The sequence below is a fragment of the Homo sapiens genome, chromosome 7 (genome assembly GCF_000001405.40).
Source record: "Homo sapiens chromosome 7, GRCh38.p14 Primary Assembly".
NCBI lineage: Eukaryota > Metazoa > Chordata > Mammalia > Primates > Hominidae > Homo > Homo sapiens.
Genome location: NC_000007.14, coordinates 4135379 through 4158335, shown reverse-complemented (window position 1 = coordinate 4158335; position 22957 = coordinate 4135379). Strand labels below are relative to the sequence as shown.

Here is a 22957-nt window from a genome sequence, read left to right as displayed (position 1 = left end):
TCTGGGCTCCTGTGTGGGCCCGAGACAGCTTAGCAAGGAGGCTGTTCTTGGGTCGGACCCAATCACTTCCTAGGTGCAATGAGCAGGGGCTTGAAGGAGACCCTGGACCTGTCCTGGGAGAAGCCTTTGAACACCTGGACGGTTGAAATCCTCAGGGAGAAAGGAGCTGCACAGAGGGCAGGGAGTGCAGGGCGTCCTGGCCAGGGGGAAGATTCTGCTCAGGGCTCCTCGGGGAGGCAGTGCCAACCCCTCACTGGAGCCACCCCTGCACTCTAGTCGGCACATCACTGCTCTCCAAGGGATCCAGAGAAGTCCTCAGGAAGAGCTAATTCCCCGGGCCCTTGTGCTGATCCGAAGTATAAAATGAGTTCCTGCCTGATTCTCACGCTCCGTCCTCCTGGAGCTCTTTACTGGGCCAGACCCAGCCTTGCAGCATTCTCTAAGGTCCACTTCCTGGCCGGCTGCAGGCAGAGACCCGCCAGCCCCGCACCCCTACCATTCACTGGGGCTGACACGGTGCCAGGCGCTTGGCAAGTGCAACCCCTTTGAACTCACACGAGCTCTGGGAGAGGAGGCATCATTATTCCCATTTCAAGGATGATAAAACTGAGGCCCACTGCTACAAGACTAGTAAATGGCAATATTCACATGTCACTTTACAAAAGACCACATCCCTGTCAAGCATCCAAGTGAAAAATACCCCCAGCCCGTCGACGGAGATTTTAACGGGACTCATGTTTTCCTGAGGTGCCTTCTGCTGTTAGCACTTCGGGCCCGCTTCCATCTGCCCACCCACCTTCCTTCCTCCCTCCCTCCCCGCTCCTTGCTGCCTTCTCTCCCCTCTTCCTCCCTTCCTTCCCTCCTTCCTTCTCTCCCTTCCACCTCCCTTCCCTCCTTTTCTCTTGCCTTCCTTCCCTCCTTTTCTTCATTCCTCCCTCCCTCCCCTCATTCCTTCTCTCCCTTCTTCCTCCCTTCCCACTTTCCTTCCTTCTTCCCTTCTCTCCCTTCCACCTCCCGTCCCTCCTTCCTTTTCCCTTCCCTTTCTTCCTTCCCCTCCTTCATTCTTCCTTCCTTCCTTCCGTCCGTCCGTCCAGCTACTCCACATGCAATGGGTCTCCTGTGCCAAGCCCCATGCCATGCCTGAGACTAAGACTTCAGCCAAACTCTTCCGTGCAGACAATGCTGGGATCTTGGTGAAGCCCCAGCCGGTCAGGGACCCGCCCTGCAACCCAGTCACTGGCTGGTTCCTCTCAGATACCCTTCATTCGACTTCCGAATGAGCAAGTGAGGAAACTGCTCTGTTCTCCTCCCTGGCGGGCAGCGGCTCTTCATAGATGAGGGCTCCATCCTCCTCAGTTTCCAGACCAGAAAACTCGGGGTGCCTCAGGACTCTTAACCTCTGTTACCCATGTCTAAAAGTCTCAACTATCACTCTAAACCGAAGCCCTCATCACCTGAAAACCAGTCTTCTGTCCTCACTCCCAATGGAATCTGTAAACCAGTGGCTTTCAAATGGAGCCCTGTGGACCCCCAGGACTCTGAAGTCTCTGAAGTCCAGAGGCCCACACAGCCCCCATCAGCCAACAAGAGCTCCATGCCCATCAGGTTTATGCATTCGGCCTGGGTCATACTTGGTTTAAAGGAAGGATTCTGCTTTTTAGAAAACTGATAACCATTTTTGGAAACCATGATTAGATTCTATTCCTGCTTTCAGGTCCCCGTCCTGCTTAAGACCAGGTGACACTGTTTCTCTACCAGCTCACACCTCAAGGCCTGCTTTTCCACTGCAGCCCTCCAGAACCTGGTCTGGTCTTGGTACTTCCCAGTCCCTGACCGCAGGCACATCTCAGACCCTCTGCACTCAGCGTCCACAACTGGAAAAACAGCCACAGGAGACAGCTGGCCTTGGTCCCAGCTTTAATGGAGATGCTTCTGAAGTCCGACCATAAAAATGACCTTTGCTCCAGAGTTCTGGTAGACAGCCTTTGCTAAGTTAAAACAAACAATTTCCCCTCTGTTCCTGGCATCCTAGGAGTTACTTTGCCTCATCTGGGTGATAACCATGTGTCTTCTCCCACGACCTCCCTGCCTCCTCCCCCTGCGCCACCCACCATAGCCCCACTGGCTCCTGTACCAGGAGGCAGCAGAGTGGGCATCAGGAATGTGGACCCCAAAGTCAAACTGCCTGGCTTCTACCTCCCAGTTAACCTTGGACAGCATACTTTGCCTCAGTTTCCTTACCTGGGCTAATAGCACAGGCATCGTGAAACTGAGGTGAGGCTTAAACTCAGGTGAGACACTCAGCAGAGTCAGGTGTGTGGTGTGGGGCAAGCTCACTAAGGATCAGCTGTTCCTATGGATCTGCAAGTATCTGCTCAGATGGCCCTGCCTGCTGTCCCCCGTGCCCTGTTCCTTCCCTTCATCTTCTGCATCATGATGGGTGACATTTCCTTGACGACTATCTGTCTTTACAAGACTCAACATCCACAAGGACAGGGACCGAGTCGGCCTCCTTTCCTGCTGTATCCCAAGAGCCAAGAACACCCAGGAGGTGCTCAGATCTATGGGTGGAAGGATTGAATAAGGATGCTATTCCCCATCTGCGAAGTTTCTCAGGCTGGGGTGGGGGGTTGCCTATGAGGACACGTAAATACCAGTGTTGTATCTGGCACACAGTAGGTGTTGCAGAAATGATTTGTTTACTTATTTATTTATTTGCGATTATGCTTACTTATTGATGTATTTGTTTTCTCACTGGCCTCTGGCATTGAACTGTAATTATACTCAGCACTCCACTGTTTAGTACTTCACACTTTGCTATGATTTGGGGGTTTGGAGCCACACTGCAAGCTCCTTGAAACCCCTCTTTCTCCACTGTCCTGCCTGGGTCTGGCACTGAGCCGGGCACACGTGGTGTGCCATAAGTGCGTGTCAGGTGGCTGGACAAATCAGCCTGGCTCCCAGACAAATGGGTTTGGGTGCAAAGGAGGACAGAGAGCAGGGTTCTTAGCGTGAGGCCTGTGTTTTGCCGGACTCACTTCATTCAACAAGGATTGATTAAGTGTCTCTGTGAGCTGCAGGGAACACAAAATGCGGATCTGGGGGAGTTAACCCTCTCGGTGGAAGCCACGCCAGTGCCCCCAAAACCAGGCAGAAAGCAGCTCCAGCAGGCAGCCGATGGGAGCAGCAGCCCCACTGCCCAAATGAGGCAGGCAGAGGGCAGTGCTATCAACCCCTCTCCTGGCTCTGCAGTACTAGAGACGGTAGCATCCTCTGTGCACTCACCCCAACCTGCCTCACCTCCCTGCAGCGCTGCTCCTGTGGATGACTGGTCTACCTCCTAGACCAAATGTTTGATCCTCAAGCCCCCCACCCCCGTTGCTCCTGCCATGCTCCCTCCTGTGGCAGAGCATGGATTTTGGTGACTCCATGATAAAGGGACAAATGCACACAGGATGCAAGAACACCCTCCTGTAACCCTTCTAACTCCTCCCAATTCTGCACTCTGTTCACACTTCCAAGCCAGCCCAAACCTCTGCTTTGGAGTGGGCTAAGCAGAATTCCAATGCTGGCTCTGCCACTACTCACTGGAGCAAGTCAGTGTCTCAGAGCCTTGCTGTATTCGGCTATGGACATGGAGATAGCAGCACCGGGGCTTCCAGGGCTGTCGTGAAAATGACATCCCATCACGCATCCTCATGGAGTCGGGTGGATCGTGGCACACAGCAGGCAATGAATAAATGTGATGTGCTCTTTCTTGTCTTCCCGAAAGCTTTCTCTGGCTCCCCCACCCCGGAGCCCTCACTTGTCCCCAGGAAGCCACTGATGCTGCCTGGTGACTCCCCGGGCCTTTGCTCATTCCCCATGCCTCACCTCCCAAATCTCCACATACAAACTCAGAAGCTGGATAGATTTAGGGATATTTTTGAGATAACATCTGCCATCTAATCTCTTTCTTCTAATCATCCCAAACTCAGGAAATAAATAATTTGGGTAATACAGGACCCTCACTCTCTGAACTTGCTATCAGAACTCTTGCTTACCCCAAATCAATAACCGATATATTTAGAAAGCCAGTTTGTACTCGTACTGCCTCGGACGGCTAATCACATACACAAACTTGACCTCCACAGCCAAAGTGTTCTGGAATGGGCGTCGGGGAAGGACATAGCTTAAGTTCCACGTTCCTGCCTCAGAGCTAAATGCAGAGTCTTTTAAATAGGAGGAGCTCCATTCCTTCATTTTGGTTCTATTATAAAATGGATGAGTGCTGAGCATCTTTTTAAAGCGATTCACTGCTGTCTTTATTTACTTATCTGGAAGGCACTAAAAATGTTTCTTAAGAATTCACTATTGGCCGGGCATGTTAGCTCATGCCTGTAATCCCAGTACTGTGGGAGGCTGAGGTGAGAGGATCACTTGAGGCCAGGAGTTTGAGACCAGCTTGGGCAACATAGTGAGACCCCATTTCTAAAAAAAAAAAAATTAAACATTAGCCAGGCACGATAGCATATGCCTGTAGTCTTAGCTACCCGGGAGGCTGAGACAGGATGGTATCTTGAGCCCAGGAGTTGGAGGCTGCAGTGAACGATGACGGAGCTACTGCACTCCAGCCCAGGTGACAGACAAAAACAAATAAAACAACCAACCAAACAAACACAAACACTTAGACCTCACTATTGTATCACAAAGAATATCAAGCTCATGTATCATATCCTTGGCCAAGTTCATCTGATTCTTTTTTTCTTCTGAGATGGAGTCTCACTCTGTTGCCCAGGCTGGAGTTCAGTGGTATGATCTCAGCTCACTGCAATCTCCGCCGCTCAGGTTCAAGCAATTCTCCTGCCTCAACCTCCTGAGTAGCTGGGATTACAGGCACATGCCACCATGCCTGGCTAATTTTTGTATTTTTAGTAGAGACAGGGTTTCACCATATCGGCCAGGATGGGCTCGATCTCCTGACCTCAGGTGATCCACCCGCCTCGGCCTCCCAAAGTGCTGGGATTACAGGCATGAGCCACCATGCCCAGCCCATCTGATCCTTAAATAATGATATTTTTAAAAAATTACATTATACGGAAAAAGAAAAAAAAAAAAAAGAAATCAGTCAAAAGGAGCTAGGGCCGTGGTGCTGACATTCGTTGAATCCCTGCTGTTTTCCATGCTCATTCCCTCTGCGCCTTTCTGTCTTCTGTTTGGAACCCCCGCACCTATCCCACGACAGAGCTCAGAGGAGGAGCTGAGCCCATCACAGCCAGATGCACAGCCACCCCCTGAGCCCGCACAGCCACTGCTCTGTCCTAAAGTGACATCCAGAACCTCCAAGTCACACTGGGCTCAGAGCCCTTCTCTTCTTCCTCTCTACTGCATTTCTGTGGGTGGCTACCCCGTCTCACAACTTCAACCACCAACCAGACACTGGCAACACCTGAACACGTCTCAGACCCAACCCCTCTCCCTGGGGGTCTCGACCCATATTCCCTGGACGTAGTCACAGTCACCAAATTGAGACATTTAAACTCTTAATGTTTTCTGGATACTCACAGATGTCACACAACTGGTGAAAGTAAAATGTAGCTGTCAGGATTATTAAACAGGAAGGGAGATTATACTGTGGCAGTGTACAAAATATCACTTTCCTGGGATTCTCCTGTGACATGTTCTCTATTGATAGGCAGAGGAAGCATTTGTCCTAGTTCTGGCCCATTAGGAAATTGACATTGGTCTCTCCTATACCAAATTAAACTGTCTGTCCTGAAACATGGACCTCTCCTTGCCAGCATGAAGTCCCGGACACACGATTAGTCTGTTTGGCTTCAGAAGCCTTCAGGAATAGTGGCTGGATATTTTTTTTCCTTCTTTTAGATGGTTACACAAAGGGTGAGGTTATTTATATATGTGAGCACACTGCCAATTAAGCTAAGCATCCTGTGTACTTTATTAAGTCAGGCTGGGCGCACCTGGCCATACTCCCCTGACCCTCGGGGCTGTGCCAGGAGAATTCCAGGGCTCTGGGAGGATGGTATCTGCCACTAGGAGTGCCTTCCTCTGGAGGGGAGAGAGCTGTGCCCCTCGAGTTCTGTTGCTGTAGCTCAAAGGGCAAGTGAGATGCTGGCAGGAACCTGGCGGACAGTCTGACTCTTCCGATTGCCTTATTTCTTGGCTGCCAGTTCCGTGGCGGTCAGCAATGAGGCAAACCTTGGACTCACAGAGCTGGAGGGAACAGCAGGATCCCCGCTCCAGCCCTGCCTTTCACAGATGAGAGGACAGAGTCCTAGCAGGCAGCCAAGGGTTGGACTTTTCCAAGGCCACGCAGCTACTAAGGGGAGACTGACTGTGGAAAGTTTGGTGTTCAGATGCACACACACTGGGTTTTCATACGTCGCAGACCCTTGTAAATTAACTGTAGGACGTGGACTGTGTCTATGGAGCCTTGACCTCTGGCTCACGGAATGTGACAACTACAAAAACCTCAGGAAATATCCCTTCCATTTAGAGACGTCAAGGCACCTGCATATGCGTTACTTAAGATATCTCTGCCTCAATGTCTGCGTGTGTAAACTGGGAATAGTGAGAAGTCTGGGCTGCATGTCCACATGGTTGTTACAAAGATCGTATGAAATGACACATGGAAGTGGTGTTGAAAATGACAGGTGCTAGACAGGATGAGGGGATTCCGGAAATAATGATGGCGACGAGGATGGCGGTGGTGGTGGTGAAGTCCTGTCAGAGCTTTAACTGTCTGGAAGCTGAGTGACTAGATCACCAGGGAAAACACCTCAGAGGGGACATCAAGCCGGAGCTGCTGCAGCCTCGTTTTCCTAACATGAGGGGCATAACCACAGTTGTGGGGACGGAACAGCTTTTCTAAATTCCAACCCGCCAGCATACGGACCTCACCAGATGTTGTGCCCTGTAAGAGGGGAAGCCAGGCAATGGCTCTGGCCTTGCTGGAAACAAGCCCCGTGCGCAGGGACCATTCCACCTCGATTTTCAGAAGAGCAGAGGGCTGCTTGGACCATGAGACTGCAGAGGGTGACTGTGCCAGGGTGGGTCCTCTGGGGCCACAGAGAGCTGGAGCTGTGCACTGGGGCGCTGGCTTCCTTGCTGGTCTGTGGTCTCCAATGGGGGCCTGGGAGCCGCAGCATGGGTTCCCGATGGTCCGTGTGACCCTCCTTGGACTGCTCAGGGACTCTGGTCAGGATTTGCATTTGACACCCAGCTGTGCCTCCTGGGGACACTGTGTGGGGTGGCAAAGGCGATACTGGCATCCATGGCCATGACCGTCCAAAGGGCCTTATCACCTCCAAGCCTCGCAACTCAAAGGCCAGGGAGCTGGAGACACCTGAGAGCCCGTCACTTGCCCCAGATCACTCAACGGCAAGTGGCAGAAGCCAGGCTGAGCCTGCACAGTTCCAGCTTCACAGCTCTGTACTGAGACGCCCGGTCGGCCACCCCTCCCTGGGCAAGTGCTTCGCCTCTGTCATGGGCCTGGTCCTCAAGCCAGGGATGGGGGTTTTGGAGGTTTCTCTTCTCTTTGAAACCCCCTGTTGTCACATCTAGGACCAGTTACACCCACACTCCAATCAGCCCTCACTCCAAAGCCTGAACTTTGCCCCCAGGGCAGAGTGGGGCCAGGGTGGTGTTCTGAGGAGCTGCCAGGGGCTTCACCTGGGACCTGCCTCCCTCCCTACATTCAGGTTCAGTCAGGAAGGGCTGAGACGGGCAGCCTCGAAGACGAGGATGGCTGGGCGCCACGGAGGCTGGGTGGGGGATATGAGCAAATGACCGACTTTTCTGACCTTGGCCTTCCTCTGTAGAGTGGGATCATGGTCTCCCCTTACTGGGTGACTGCAGGGACGCAGAGCTGACCTATGTGACCATCTGAGAGACAGAGGAAGCTCGGCCAGCCTGGAGACAACCGTCTTGGCCCCTCTACCCTCTTAGTCATTGGTGCAGGCTCCAGAGCCCTGCGACATGGAGGGACTCACTCCAAGACCCCCGCTCCACAGCCTGGAGTGTGAGCTCAGTAACAAGTGACCAAACTCTGGGCCAATGAGAAGCACAAGGCGGGTGTCCCGGGTGGCCCTGCCCAGGCAGGGCCTGCGAACCAGACAGGCCCCAGGAGGGCCTGGTCAGGGCATGTGGTGAGGGTGTGGACTCCTGGGGTGGCTTCTAAGCCCTGGGATGCCCATCTGTGTGACTGTGGCAGTTTCCTTGTCTGTAAAGAGTGGGTGGGTCTGTAAACCGCAGTTGTGAGGACCCTGGGGGACCCACAGAACGCCGCTGCTATTGTCAATGCAACCCTCTCCCATGCTGAGCCCAGAGGTCCAGTAAACAACTGAGTGAGTGGACGGATTCTAGTCGTGTCCTAGGCATGCCCTCCCATCTTCCCCAGCCATCACTAAGGAAGCACAGTACTCGTGGTGCCATCCATCTCCCTGCTGCTTTCGAGAACGCAAGGGGACGCAACGTCCCTCCAGCCCTGGACACCCGAGGCCAGCCCAGCCCTCCTCCACATGGTCCCCTCCCCATTGCCAGCCTTGGGAGGGGCTAGGACTCCAGCCCACATGTCCAGCCTGCCCCCCATCACCCCTGCCTCGCCAATCCCTGGGTCCTGGGGTGACCAAACCAGCCCTGCACACCTGGAAGAGCAGACTCCGGGAAGCGGCTGGGGGTGGGCCCTTGGAAGTAGCTCCAGGACCCAGGAGTTCTGGGATTCCCAGCATGGGGAGTGTCAAAAAGAAAGGGGGCCTGTGCTCTCAGGGGTGCACCTGCTTGGCCCACACAGCCTCCCCACTATCTGGACAGGAGCTGGCTGGAGGCGGCCAGGGCCCCGTTCCCCGGGGAGGTGCTCCTGCTCTCTCAGTACCTGTCAACGACGCATGCTGTCGCCTCATGGCTGATGGACGAGGAGTAGGTCTGCCACTCACCCCGAGGCAGCTCTCGCACCTGCATGGTGAAGTACCGGATGGGGGAGGCCCCGTCGCTGCCCGGGACCCACTGGAGCCGGAGGCTGCGTGCGGTCACTTCTGCCTGGGGCACCAGGAGCTCTCTGGGGGGTGCCGGCCGCTCTGCAACCAAATGAGGACAGACCAGGGACATGTGAGAGGCTGCCCTTCCCAAGGAACATCCCCAGGAGGCTACGCTGCTGTACAGGGCTGACTGCTTGCCCATGAGAGCTGCCTGCATGCCTTGGACAGTCTGAAGCCAGTCCCTTCCTTGGGTCAGGGAGATGAGAGGCTCTGTTTTTTTGTTTTGTTTTGTTTTGTTTTGTTTTTGAGACAGAGTCTCACTCTGTCACCAGGTTGGAGTGCAGTGGCGTGATCTCAGCTCACTACAACCTCTGTCTCCTGGGTTCAAGGGATTCTCCTGCCTCAGCTTCCTGAGTAGCTGGGACTACAGGTGTGCACCACCACGCCCAGCTAATTTTTGTATTTTTAGTAGAGACAGGGTTTCACCATGTTGGCCAGGATGGTCTTGATCTCTTGACCTCGTGATCCGCCTGCCTCGGCCTCCCAAAGAGCTGGGATTACAGGCGTGAGCCACTACACCCAGCTGAGCAGCTATCTTAAGGCTGACTTCGGATGCACTACTCATAGAGACCAACAGACAGGAACAAAGCCACACAGGAGTCCCTGGGCTGCCAGACCACCAGGCACTGTGTCTGTGATGACAGCTGGGGTCGCAGGGTCTTGGGGGCTGTTCCAAGCCCTGTGGTCCCTTTGGTCTCTCTTTTTCTGATGTTGTGCTCAGTCCACCTTTAACGCTGAATTTCCTCCTTCTTGCAGTCACCCAGGGCCTAAAGCATCTACGGCATCTACTCAGTGCTGCTGTAGGTGAGGGCACCTCTGGGCTGTCACTGCCTCTGGTGTGTGCAGTAGCTTGGATGCGGGACGCGGGGTGCCTGGGGCCAGGCCCGGCCTGGAGTGCCCATCATCTGCCGCCGCTGTGCCTCTGCACCCCATCGATTTCAGCAGAGAAGTTCCGCGGCGGAAGGAATAATTGTTTAATTGTTTATCATGAAGATTATTGATTCTGATTAGAATGCGTGGCGTGTGTAAAGCTGCAATTGATTGTCGGCCCCCAGTGGCGGGTGTGGGAGGAGGGCTCCCGTCTCACTTCATCAGCACTTGCCTCCGTAAGCACACGTTCTGGCCCTTGTGATTTCACCTGGTCTCCGGAGGGGAGGTGGCCCAGCGTATCCCGTTTCAAAGGCTCTCTTGGACTTAGTGGTAACTAGCAAGTCTCTTGGATTCCCTCTCCCTGAGCCACGAGGATGGAGGATGGGGGCCCCAATGGAAAATCTCCGAAATCTCTGGTCCGGATAATCAGGTGGCATAGTGTGGGGCGGGACTGTGGGGCGGGGCTGTGGGGCAGGACACGGGGAAATAAGAGGACCTGCTGTGAGACCGTGTCTGTGATGCACCTGCACACGTGCCTGGCTCGCGGGAGGGGCACAGTCAATGTTTAAGATAAATGAACCATAAAACCACACAAATACATTAGAGAAAGAAGTCAAAACGTTTGCTTGGGAGCCATTACCATCTTCCTGAGAAGCCGACAGCCCTGAGTGCTGATACCCAGGGTGGCAGCAGGGGGATAGGGGCGCTCCTTTCACAGGGCATCCCTTCCATGTGCTTTACATTGCAGAAGCACCTCGGGTGTCTGTGGCGACTGAGGGCTTCCGTCCCTCCAGCTAATAACAATAATAATGATAGTGGTAATGGTCACAGAGGGGATGTGCTTTCACTGAATGCTATGGGAGGACCAAAGGCAGGGGCTCACACCTGCAATCCCAGAGCTTTGGGAGGCTGAGGCAGGAGGATCGCTTGAGCCCAGGAGCTGGAGACCAGCCTGGGCAACGTAGTAAGACCCCCATCTCTACAAAAATTAAAATATTAGCTGGGCACAGTGGCTCATGCCTGTAACCCCAGCACTTTGGGCGGCCAAGATGGGTATCATAGCAAGACTCTGTCTCTTCAGAACATAATTAGCTGGGTGGTGTGTGCCTGTAGTCCCCGCTACTGGGGAGGCTGAGGTGGGAGCATTGCTTGAGCCCAGGCATTCCAGGCTGCGGTGACCTATGATCACATAACTGCACTCCAGCCTGGGCAACAGAGCAAGACTTGTTTCAAAAATAAAAAAACAAAAATAGGAGCGTGGCCAGAACTGTGTGCTCCAAGTATCCCTGCAGTGGTGCCTGCAAGCTCCCTCCCGTCCTCATTCCCACAGGGTCCCTGGGTCTGGCCATGACATCAGGACCTGGAGTGGGAGCTGGGGCTGCTGAGGTGAGGGTCCTGTGGCACCAACCCTGGACGCTGCAAGGCCCGAGGACATGCGCGGAGCCCACTGAGAAGGGCGCCCACTATAGACTTTCATGGGAAGAGTCGGCCTCGTGGTGTCAGAGGGGAGTCCAAATCTCAGCTCTGCAGTTGTGTGTCTGGGCAAATTAATAAAACTCTCTCAGTTTCCTCTGTCTCATCTTTGGTAAAAATCAGAGCTAATGCCATGCTGCTCCGTGGGCTGCAGGAAGGATAGGCCAAGTGCAGTGCATGGAGCACCTGTCTCCGTGCGTGGAGCAGAGCCCTGCTCGCCCGGCAGTTCTCATTGGGAAGGCAGTTATTTGGAAAACTTACTTACTGAGCACCTGCTCTACGGAGGACGTGGGTTTAACATCAGAGACTGGGGGCTGCTTTCGGGGAGCTCAACCTCAAATGTGGTGACTCTGCAGCCTTGCCCCAGGTACTCAGCCTCTGCGAGCAATGTTGCTTTCCTTAAACCTGAGACCGTCTCACATATCTAAGAGAGCAGGTGTGAGGCTGAAGGTGTGAATGCAATGCTCAGGTGTCTGAGAGAGCAGGTGTGAGGCTGAAAGTGTGTTATGCAATGCTCACATGTCTGAGAGCAGGTGTGAGGCTGAAAGTGTGTCACGAAATGCTCACATGTCTGAGAGAGCAGGTGTGAGGCAGAAGGTGTGAATGCAATGCTCACATGTCTGAGAGAGCAGCTGTGAGGCTGAAAGTGTGTCATGCAATGCTCACATGTCTGAGAGAGCAGGTGTGAGGCTGAAAGTGTGTCACGAAATGCTCACATGTCTGAGAGAGCAGGTGTGAGGCAGAAGGTGTGAATGCAATGCTCACGTGTCGGAGAGAGCAGGTGTGAGGCTGAAGGTGTGAACGCAGTGCTCACGTGTCTGAGAGAGCAGGTGTGAGGCTGAAGGTGTGAATGCAATGCTGTTTGATAGTGTGTCCAGCTCCATGTCAGGTGCAATGGGTGCTTTGTAAATGCTCACATCCCTTCTCTTTCTCCGAAGGGAAGGCCGAAGCCTCCCAGGTACCCCGCAGACCCCAGAGGGCCTGATTGAGGAAGCTGTGCCCACAACATCTGCAGTACCCCCGGGTCCCCCAAGGTCTTACCTCTCTTCTCGGTGGTGATGACGGTGGCCTCCAGTGGCTCCCCCCAGCCCTGCCTCGTCTTGGCGGACAGCCTGAAGATGTATGCGGACTCCGGGGCCAGGTCGGTGGCTGTGAACTGCCTCACTGTGGCGCCGACCTCCACGGTGGTGAAGGTGTGGGGGCTGCTGCTGGCCAGGCGGTAGGCAATCTGGTACCCTGCAGGCAGGTGACATGGGAGACAGCTGCTGAGCCAGTCACCCACGGCACAGGGAAGCCCTGTGCCCACACCCTGTGCTGACCCCTGGAAGGCCATCTGTCTCTTCCCCGTCTCTGGAGGTCACTGCCTGTGCACTGAAAGGGTGGTCTCATGGCTGTGATGAATGGTGGGGCCCCACGTGGATTTCCCTGTGAAGCTTGTTTCCTGCTCCATCCTTCACCAGAACAAGGTGTGAACACGGGTTCATCTTTCCTTAGGATGCGGGCACGAGGCGAGCATGCCACAGGGACCCAGTCCCTCCCTGCTCCCCAGAGGGCTGTGGCTTCTCAGTCTCTGCCTCTCCCTCCCTCCTGCAGTCTGGCTCTCCCCGTCGCTCTCTTAGGAAGTCGTTTAATTCTTGCAAAAGACAGCATGGCCTCCCCAGGCAGGACAGCAGCTCCACAGCGGCCACTCCTCCTTCCCTCCTTTGTCTTCCCTGTCTGCCTGCACCTCTGACCCCCCAGCTCCCTCCAGGGACCCCAGCAACGTCCATCCGGCCCCTTCTTTGGCCCCACCCCTCCCGAGCAGCTCCGCCAGGGCAGCTCTGCTTACAGAATCCCCCTGTGCTGCCCAGTTGAGGGAGGGCTCCTGGCTTGCTCAGTTCCTCCGCTGGGAGGGGCTTGGGGTTGACCAGACGTTCCTTATTAACGATCACTCCTCTCCACTGGCCGCCCCAGGCCTCCCCCGCTGGCATCTGGAGGAACCTTGTTAACTCTGCAGCTCCAGTCCGCACCCTGCCTGGCTCACAGACAACGTGTGGTCCAGCGGCTGAGCTCCTGCGCTGATTAAAACCAGAAATGACGGGGCGCTGTGGCTTCCAAAAAAAATCAACTGCTGGAGTTAAACAAGGGAGGACGCACGGGGGGAACAGAGCCGCGCTCCGGTCTCATCAGTGCTGCCTCTTCGTGGAGTGGCCTCTGCACTGGTGGCTCACCCTCTGTGGGGAGGAGCTGCCGGGCGACCCCACGCTGCTTGCCCCCTGCCCTCAGCCTCTGTTCCGGGTGAACCCCTCCCTCTCTCAGCTCTTCCTGCTCTCAGGTCTCTGGTTCATGAACGACCGAGCTCACAGGCATCCTCCCAGCTCCTGCGCCTTGTCACTCATCCACGCATTTAACAAACCCCTCCCCAGCCCGCCATCTGGGAGGTGGGAGGACAATTACACGGAGATCAGACCTCAAGGGCATCCTCACATCAGGCCCCAGGCATCACCGCTCACCATCAGCACCGTCATCACCGCCACACAGACAGGGACACACGCCCTGCCCTGTCCATGACGCAGCCACCTCTAGGCGCAGGTGTCTGCAGGACCCTGAACTTAGGCCCCCAGAGTGGCTGTCGCAGCCGCTGCCCTGCCTCCAGTGGACGGGCTGTCTTCCCCACAATGGGGACCGGGAGTTCTGAGACTTCCTGGATGTGGCCCTGCTGGCCTCAGGTCTCTGGCAAGGGTGTCCCTGCTAGACTCCTGTTCCTTCCCAGTCACTGACTGACCGAGGGCAGCCTAGAGACGGCGGCCAGCTCTTTCCCCCGGCCTCCCCTTCCCCCACGCCTCCCCTTCCCCCACACCCCTGTGTAGTGAGAGTAGGGAGAGGGCCAGCTCTTCCCACAGGCCTCCCGTTTCCCCGACCCTTGCACAGTGAGAGTAGGGAGTCAGCCGTGCACACACAATGGAAGCTCAGTCTGAGGCTTCGGGGCTCCTGGCCGCCCCGCACTCTGACGGTGAGGAGAGCGTGACCACAGCGGCTACACTGCTAGGCACATCCAGGGACCCTGCTGCATCCCTGCAACGCTTCCCATGCCAGACCCTCGCCGCAGGCCTGTCAGGAAGCATACAAGACAAGGATGAGGACGAGGCTGTGAAGCTCCAAGATGGGTCCCCAGCGAGAAAGTGACGAGAGAGTCGGGCTGGAGCCCCATGGGTGCCTACTCTTCCTGGGAGAAGCAAACACCCATGCCGATCTGTGAGCAAAGGGAGAGCATCCCCTCGCCAGGTCCCCGTTGCTCGGAACCACGGACCCCAGGGCCCACTGCGCAGAAGCATCCTCTCCAATAGAAGCTAGCGGGCCCTTCAAAGGAAGGACACACCTTTGGGGGTGCACCTCTGGGCTGGAATCCCGCTCTGCCAATCATTCACTGTGTGACCGTGGATGAGCCATGCAGCCTCTCCCAGCCTCAGTTTGCTGGACTACATGGTGCAAGGATATGGCAGGACACCTCACGGGGTGCCAGGAGGGCTCTGGGGGCTCACGGTGGTAATGACCTGGCTGGCACAGCCATGCCTGGTTGCTCCTGGCTTTAATATTATTATAAAACAATTGCAGTCACGACTTCTCCTCCCTCCTCCAGCTGGCAAGACCCCTTCCCTAGCAGTTCCTCACCCTGTGGTGGCCGGTATGACCACAGAGTTATCATTCCTCACAGCCTCCATGGAACCTTATTCCCCGGACCTGTCCACAGGCACTGATATGGGCGTGGTGCCTTAGGCCCCTGCAGCTCCAGGACAGGGTGCTGAATGCCCACCGGAAGCAGCACAGGGGCCCAGAACAGACATGGCCAAGCCCCTAGCCCAGCCCTGAGGAGTGACACCCCCAACTTTGCAATGCCTGATTGAGTTAACTACCTACAGCGTGTGCCTCAGAACAGGACTCCCTGGGTCGGAGTTCCCCCTTAAAATGTAAATTCCCCAACAATGTCCTGCTTCCTCGGGGCTGGGAGAATGACCCTAATTCTGAGGTCTCTGGGCGGCTGTGTTCTGCCTGGAAAAAGCATCTCTGGCCACATAATCGATGTTCATCTTGGAGACCTTCTAGGCTTAAGCTGCCTTTTGTCTAAAGACATTCAATATTGTTATGATTTCTTGAGCTGTGTAACATTCACATGGCTCAAAAATCATGCAAATGTGCCAGGTAAAGAGTGCAAAGCAGCCAGGCACAGTGGCTCACGCCTGTAATCCCAGCATTTTGGGAGGCCAAGGAGGGTGGATCACTTGAGGTCAAGACTTTGAGACCAGCCTGGCCAACATGGTGAAACCCTGTCTCTGCTAAAAATACAAAACTTTAGCAGGGCACAGTGGCTCATGGCTGTAATCTCAGCACTTTGGGAGGCCGAGGTGGGCGGATCACAAGGTCAGGAGTTCGAGGCCAGCCTGACCAAAATGGTGAAACCCTGTCTCTACTAAAAATACAAAAATTAGCCGGGCGTGATGGCGGGCGCTTGTAATCCCAGCTACTCAGGAGGCTGAGGCAGGAGAATCGCTTGAACCCGGGAGGCGGAGGCTGCGGTGAGCCGAGATCACGTCACTGCACTCCAGCCTGGGTGACAGAGCAAGACTCTGTCTCCAGCAAAAACAGAAAACAAAACAAAAAACAAAAACGCAAAACCAAAACCACCAAGAATGATGTGTAACCCAGTGTTAAGTTCAGGCATCTGAATATCGTTCCTAGAGATGAAGAGATACGAATCTTTCGCTAAGGCAGCAAAAATCAAGTTTGCATTAAAAACAGACTCATGTATGTATGCGTAGGGTTCAGCCTGCTCCCTCCACACTGTCGAGGTGGGATCATCTCACTGATTTTGCACAAGTGGCTAAAAAGATTTCTTCTTCACCGTGTGAAAAAACATGCCTATCCCGGCAGGGCGCAGTGGCTCACACCTATGATCCCAGCACTTTGGGAGGCCGAGGCAGGTGGATCAAAAGGTCAGGAGTTCAAGACCACCCTGGCCAAGATGGTGAAACCCCGCCTCTACTAAAAATACAAAAATTAGCCAGGCATGGTGGCAGGTGCCTGTAATGCCAACTGCTCGGGAGGCTGAGGCAGGAGAATCACTTGAACCCGGGAGGCGGAGGTTGCAGTGAGCCAAGATCACGCCACTGCACTCCAGCCTGGGCGACTGAGCGAGACTCTGTCTCAAAAACAACAACAAAAACATGCCTATCCCTAAAAGAGAAAGAGAAAGCCCTGTGTGGAAGATGCTTGGAGGCCTGGCCCCGACAGACGACTAACGAGGGCCTTCCCCAGCATCCCCGATGGCCAGGAACATGCCTTTCCTATGGATCCCACCAGCCTACCTGAGTTCCCTTGATTCATTACTTAATATGTTGGAGAGTTGTGTGTGATTAAGACTTCTCGCTCAAAATCCAAATTGCCTTTCAGTGACTATGTCTGAATTAATGAGGTATTATTTACTTTCAGGAGCAGGGCATGGTTACAGACGTGTTTTCATTATTGTTTAATCTTTACTGTTTCACCATGTTTTATCTCTGCCCAGATTATTCCATTGCTAGAGGTAATAATCCTGAGATGAAATGAAGATGTTGTTCAAAGGCACTCCTTGTGGATCACAGGATTTGGGGATTATGTGGGAACTGGTTTCTTCTTGCCAAGCTGTCTGAGGTTTGCTTACAGACCCTCCTTTCTATCAATGGCCCCACCTGACTCTTCTGTCCTCCAAGGTGAGCCCTGCCTTTGGCCATGCCGCAGACTACACAGGCTTCCATCATGTGGTTATGCACTTGCCCCTTCACTGCCCCACGTGGGCCTCACCTCACTTGCCTTGGAGGATACACTGCCTCGGGTTTGTGGATTGTTTTTCGTGTGTGGTCCTTGCCTCTCTCTCAGAAGCTCCTGACTAGACAGCAGGGAGCCGGGAGACCTGGCTCCTGACCCAGCCCTCAGGCAAATTCTAATCTCTGCCTGACTCTCAGTTCTCATCTCTTGGTATTAATCATTTTTTTAAAAATTTAAAATAGAGATGGGGTCTCACTATGTTGCACAGGCTGGTCTTGAACTCCTCGGCTCAAGCGATCCTTCTGCCTCAGCCTCTCAAAGTGCTGGGATTGCAGGTATGAGCCACTGTGTCTGGCCTCTATTAATCATTTTTTAAAATGGAGACACAGCTTATTAGGGGCCTCTATATTCCAGGCACTTCATAGCTACCATATTAAGACTTCATGACATTCCCCAGGCAGATATTCCTGTTTCCATTTCACATTTGCAGGCAAGGAGGGGCTGGGTGCCCACGAGCACACAGTAAACAGGGCAGGGCTGGGGTCCCTCGGCATCGAGCCCCAGCTCTTCCCAGGATACCCTGCTGTTGGCCTCAGCTCCCCCCTGCTGCAGTATGATGGGATTCTGATGATTAAAGAAAAGGGAGAAAAAAACAGAAAACAATTCAGAGAAAGTCACTCAGCAGGACATTCTGAAGGTGACCGACACAGAGTGGGGGAAACTGCAAAACATCAAGAAACAGCCCCTCATCGTGGGGCCGGGGGTCCCACTTGGGCCCAGCTCCAGAGCCACGCCTCCAGCATGTGAGGGCTCCCATCTGGGGAGGCTGAATTGTTCCAGAAAGTGCCAAAGAAAGAGAGTCCTCGGGAAGAGCCTTGGGGAGTAACATCAGGAAAGAGGTCAGCTGAGGTGGGCCCAGGGAGAGCGCTATGCAGCGGGGGCCAGAGGCAAAGCCACTGATCTGAGAGGGGGACGAGCAGCCTGTGAGGTGCAGGCTGGGGTGGAGCGGGGCGGCAGAGAAGGCCTGCAGGAGCAGCGCCACTGTCTGCAGCAGCCAGAGCACGAGGAAGGGAACCTGTGTGCTCCCAGGGAGGTGGTGACAGGGGGACAAGGCACTCTGGAGGTCACACTTCCAGAGTGTGGGCCTGGCAGGAATCACCGTTTGCAGAGCTGGCCCAGAGGTGCACAATGAATAGGCTCATGGGAGAACAGTGGGGTCTTGTTGTTCAGGGAGGCCTGGGGCCCTGCCCCATTACCAGATCGTTCCCATCGATGGACTCTCCCTGCCTGAGTCCCGAGGGCTCCACCCAGCTCCAAGACAGCCCAGACAGCGCAGGGCGAGGCCCTCTGATGCGGTGCTAAAGCTCTCAGCCCCTCAGTCCCATAGCGCTCCTGGGGCTTCAGCTTTTCAAGATTATACACACACACACACACACACATACACACACACACACATACACACACACACACATACACACACACACATACACACACACACATATACACACACACATATACACACACACATATACACACACATATATACATATACACACACACATATACACACACATATATACATATACACACACATACACACACACATATACACACATATATACATATACACACACATATATACACACACACATACACACACATATATACATATACACACACACATATATACACACACATATACACACACATATATACATATACACACACATATACACACACATATATACATACACACACACACATATACACACACACATATACACACACACGTACATATATACACACATATATAGTTGTTTATACATACAGATAGATAGATGCTTCTTTTGTATAAAAGCCACCCAAAAAAAGCAGGAAAAAAAAACCCATGAAATCACCTTTGGCCCTAGGGTGGGTGCCCCACGAACAGACCTTGAGGCCAGGACTGGAGTGCAAGTGGCGATTTGGGAGGTCACTCCAGGAAATGGGGGGTGGGTAGAGAAGTGACACGGAGAAGAAGCTGATGAACGTGTGTGCATCAAGGCAGGGGCCGTGGGGCTGGGCTCCTCCCACTGTGGGGGCCGGTGGAGAACCTGTTAGCCTCGTCCCCAACACATGACACGGGGGGAGCTGCAGTGTGCGCCCACTGCCTCTCAGCGGTTGGCTAAGGGCTGTTGGGGGCACCCCTTGAATGTATGGCCCAGTCCTCAAAACCTAGCAGGCTCCGGCAGCCACAGAAAGCCCCTGGGCAGAGTCCCAGGTGATGGCCTGGAAGCTGGGGTGATGGTATGCTGGTCTGCAGGAGGACCATGCTGCCACTCAGAGATAACTGTAGCTGTCTTGGGACTTTTTTTAGTCATCAATTTTCTTTTCTTTTCTTTTCCTTCCCTCCTTCCTTCTTCTTTCTTTCTCTCTCTTTTTTTTTTTTGAGACAGAGTTTCACTATTGTTGCCCAGGCTGGAGTGTAATGGTATGATCTCGGCTATACTGCAACCTCTGCCTCCCAGGTTCAAATGCTTCTCCTGCCTCAGCCTCCCAAGTAGGTGGGATTACAGGTGTGTGCCAACATGCCCAGCTAATTTTTGTATTTTTAGTAGAAACGGGGTTTCACCATGTTGGCCAGGCTGGTCTCGAACTCCTGACCTCACGTGGATCCACCCTTCTCAGCCTCCCAAAGTGCTGGGATTACAGGCATGAGCCACCATGCCTGGCCTTTGGTAATCATTTTTCTACGCATATGAGTACTCAACAAACCCGGATTTCCACACTCAGTATGAGTTTTTCATTCTGCGATTTCTGCACAACATAACAAAAGCATGTTTTCCCTTTAGAAGCATGAATTTTAATGACTGTTTAATAGTGCACTGCGTGGCAGTGCCGCTGGACCCAAGTAGGAAGGGGGGAGTTTGCAGTGGGGTCGCCCTCCCCTCCCCTGACCTTTAGGATGCAGGCCTGGCAAAGCCCCAGTGAGACAATGTATGCAGATTGCAAAGCACGACGGCATCCCTGCTAATTGCAGAAATCTGGGTTCTTCTTCTCTCTCTGATCTGGTTCCCTAGGCACTGGAAGAAAACTCCTTGGCCTGTGTGTTCTATTTGTACCTTCCTATTATTTGCCCTAAAATAAAGATAATATCAGCTGGTCGCCACACCACGGTCTGCTGAACATAAAGATGAATGCCTATAGCTCACCTTGACACGTTTAAAAAGTCCTAGACTCGATGGACAATAGAAGACAGCTTTTTTTCTGTACATAAATGGCACAAAGGAGCAGCTGAGTAGCAGTCCTTGCATTTTTAGAGAATAATGATAGATGGTGTTCAGAGATAAGAGCGTTTCTGTGGAAAAGGCTAGTTATGTAATTACGGTTACAGCGAGATCAGAAACATCAGTGCGCTGCACTTCAGCGACGCAAGGCCAGAAGACGGCGGCGTGTGCGAGGGAGGAATGAACAGGCCGAATCAATAGCAGCAGTAAAATGCGGCTTACGAGGAGCCCTGTTTTTAAGGGTATGGGTGAATTATGATAATATGAGCATTAAAAGGAGCAAGGCCAAGTACGAGACACATTGATCCAAATGGAAGATTAAAAACATCAAGTGAGAGGCCTGAGTGGGTTTCTGAATACACCTGGAAGACGGAGGTGGCACTGCACATTTAGACAATCAGAATCCAGAAAGGGACTGCGCCACGGGCCTGAGACAAGTTCCAGAACCGTCCACTGCTCGAGACACAAGAAGGTGGCACTAAGGAGCTGAGGCTGGATACTGGAAGCCTTGTAGGCATCTCAGCTCCAGGTCAGCCTGAAGACTGACGCCGCACAGCTATACACAGAGCAATTTGGAGACTTCTATCCGGACGTTTTAGGTGGCTGCAAAGCCTTTGAGATAGAGTCTCGCTCTGTCACCCAGGCTGGAGTGCAGTGGCACGATCTTGGCTCACTGCAACCTCCGCCTCCCGGGTTCAAGCCATTCTCATGCCTCAGCCCCCTGAGTAGCTGGGATTACAGGTGTGTGCCACCGTGCCCAGCTAGTTGCAAACCTTTAATAAATTGTGCACTTCCCTGGGAAACAAAAGGCATTGTCTGAGAGTTGCTGTTCAGTGAGCATCACTGGGACCCCAGCGCTCATGACTCCAAAGCACGACCATCTGGGGCACGTGCTGCCGATCTCTCTGCAGCTGCTGTTGGTGGGCAAGTGGGTCAGAGAACCCGCAAGCCACTGAATCGCCCCAGGACGCCCACGCTGGCCGAGCCTAGATGCCGTGGCCTGTGGGTTTTGCAGCTTATCCATCCAAGGGCTGGGGATCAAAACGCTGAATCTGCCAACAGGGATCATACTTGCTGGAGCTCCTGATTCTCCGCAGAGTTCCCGCACACCCTTCGTAATAAGCTTAAAGGTAAATGTTAGGCCCTCCTGCTGGCAGGGCGGGATCCCGCGTGTCTGGCCAGGGCAGGCCCAAGTGGGTCTGAAGAGCTCACGCATCATCACGTTAGCGTAATACCAGTCAAGGCCATGTGGTGTCAGCTGGTGGGTGAGGGAGGGACGTCTGTACTCAGGGGGTTCCAACCCCATCCCCCCAAAGAAAAGTTCTAAATGCTAAAAGCACTCCACAGTAAAATATTTACGCAAATAAGCAAGTGTTTTCTCCTCTAGGTGCCTGCTGTGGTTCACGCTGTTAATCTCTTTTGGAAATGCAAGAACATGTTTTGATATAGATTACAAAAGCTCGGGCGGCAGAGGTGTTTATGTACTCAGAAGGCCAAGCTGCCAGAGTGGGAACATTGATTCAAGGTCTCTGGATGTAAAGTGAGTCAGACGAAAAGATGTTTTGCTTTCTCCCCTGTGAACACCCATCTGAATTTGCAGGAATTGTCTTCCTGTCTTCCTGCAGCCTCCGCCGTGTGGTGTGCCGGCTGTAATGACCCATGGGTGACAGGTTACCCGGACAACATGCATTACAATTACAAGCCAATGCTGCATGACAGAGGAGGCTCGGCAGTGACGTTGTCTGCCTCGCAGGTAGACACGGTGCTGTGTGATTCAGCAGCGTTCAGCACGGTTGGAGGGCTCAAAGTATTTAAGTGATTATCCTTCTCCTCACTTGGGCTTCAGTGGCTTTCAGTGACCACAAATCAAGATCCATACCTCCCGACGCACTTTAGGAACACTCTGTAACCCAAGCAGCCTTCTAAGTTTTCTTTCTCTTGTCGGCAAGAAGCCTCTGCTTCAGCAACCAGAGTTATGGAGGACAAATCAAGGCAGCACACCACTGCTGCATGCAACGGGAATACTAGGACCAGGCTGAGCCCCCAATGGTCTAGGAGGAGCTCTCAAGTCCAGGGAGCCTCCAGCCTCCTCTGGTGCCAGGGAAACGATGAAATATTCGATCTGATACGGAAGCTAACGTTTACTCAGCACTCACTATGTGGCAGGCACTGTTCTAAGTGCAACTCTAACCAGTGAGGGAGGCACGAATGTGCTTCCCCTTTGAGGGATGGGGAAACTGAGGCATGGGAATGCTAAGAAACACGCATAAATTCACTCAGCTAATAAGCATAGGCTGAGATCTGAGTCCAAAACGTTACCCAGGCTGCCGGCCTACTTGTCCGTGATGCAGTGTTGAAAACACAGGGGAAAGGAAAAGCAGGCAGCCCCAAGGTTCGTGCCATCTGACTTGTGCAGACGACAGCTGCTTTCTTTCTTGCTATTTCAGTGAATCTGTAATGAACATCCTTGTACGTTTCTCCTTGTGCACACAGGCAAGAATTTCTCTAGGGCGAAGGCCTGGAAGTGCAGAG

At 53.6% G+C, this 22957-nt stretch overlaps 1 protein-coding gene across 6 annotated transcripts in view, besides 3 other annotated features; it reads right to left on the bottom strand.

Moving 5' to 3' along the window:
- The window catches only part of SDK1 (sidekick cell adhesion molecule 1), a 967749-nt gene that overhangs the window by 110665 nt on the left and 834127 nt on the right, over window positions 1-22957 (bottom strand). For all 6 annotated transcript variants that reach the window (NM_152744.4, XM_047420038.1, XM_047420037.1 and 3 more), the window contains 2 exons: window positions 12420-12614; window positions 8873-9074 (listed from right to left, as the gene is read on the bottom strand). In NM_152744.4, coding sequence (NP_689957.3) covers window positions 8873-9074; window positions 12420-12614 — 397 coding nt within the window. The remainder of the gene's footprint in view (window positions 1-8872; window positions 9075-12419; window positions 12615-22957) is intronic.
- Window positions 10617-11231: an enhancer, noted in NCBI's record as "H3K27ac-H3K4me1 hESC enhancer chr7:4186737-4187351 (GRCh37/hg19 assembly coordinates)". NCBI's record gives its function as "activates a minimal SCP1, AML or CMV promoter by ChIP-STARR-seq in primed H9 embryonic stem cells {active_cell/tissue: H9 hESC(primed)}" and the evidence as "EXISTENCE:reporter gene assay evidence [ECO:0000049][PMID:30033119]".
- Window positions 20943-21824: an enhancer, noted in NCBI's record as "H3K4me1 hESC enhancer chr7:4176144-4177025 (GRCh37/hg19 assembly coordinates)". NCBI's record gives its function as "activates a minimal SCP1, AML or CMV promoter by ChIP-STARR-seq in naive H9 embryonic stem cells {active_cell/tissue: H9 hESC(naive)}" and the evidence as "EXISTENCE:reporter gene assay evidence [ECO:0000049][PMID:30033119]".
- Window positions 21825-22707: an enhancer, noted in NCBI's record as "OCT4-H3K27ac-H3K4me1 hESC enhancer chr7:4175261-4176143 (GRCh37/hg19 assembly coordinates)". NCBI's record gives its function as "activates a minimal SCP1, AML or CMV promoter by ChIP-STARR-seq in primed H9 embryonic stem cells {active_cell/tissue: H9 hESC(primed)}" and the evidence as "EXISTENCE:reporter gene assay evidence [ECO:0000049][PMID:30033119]".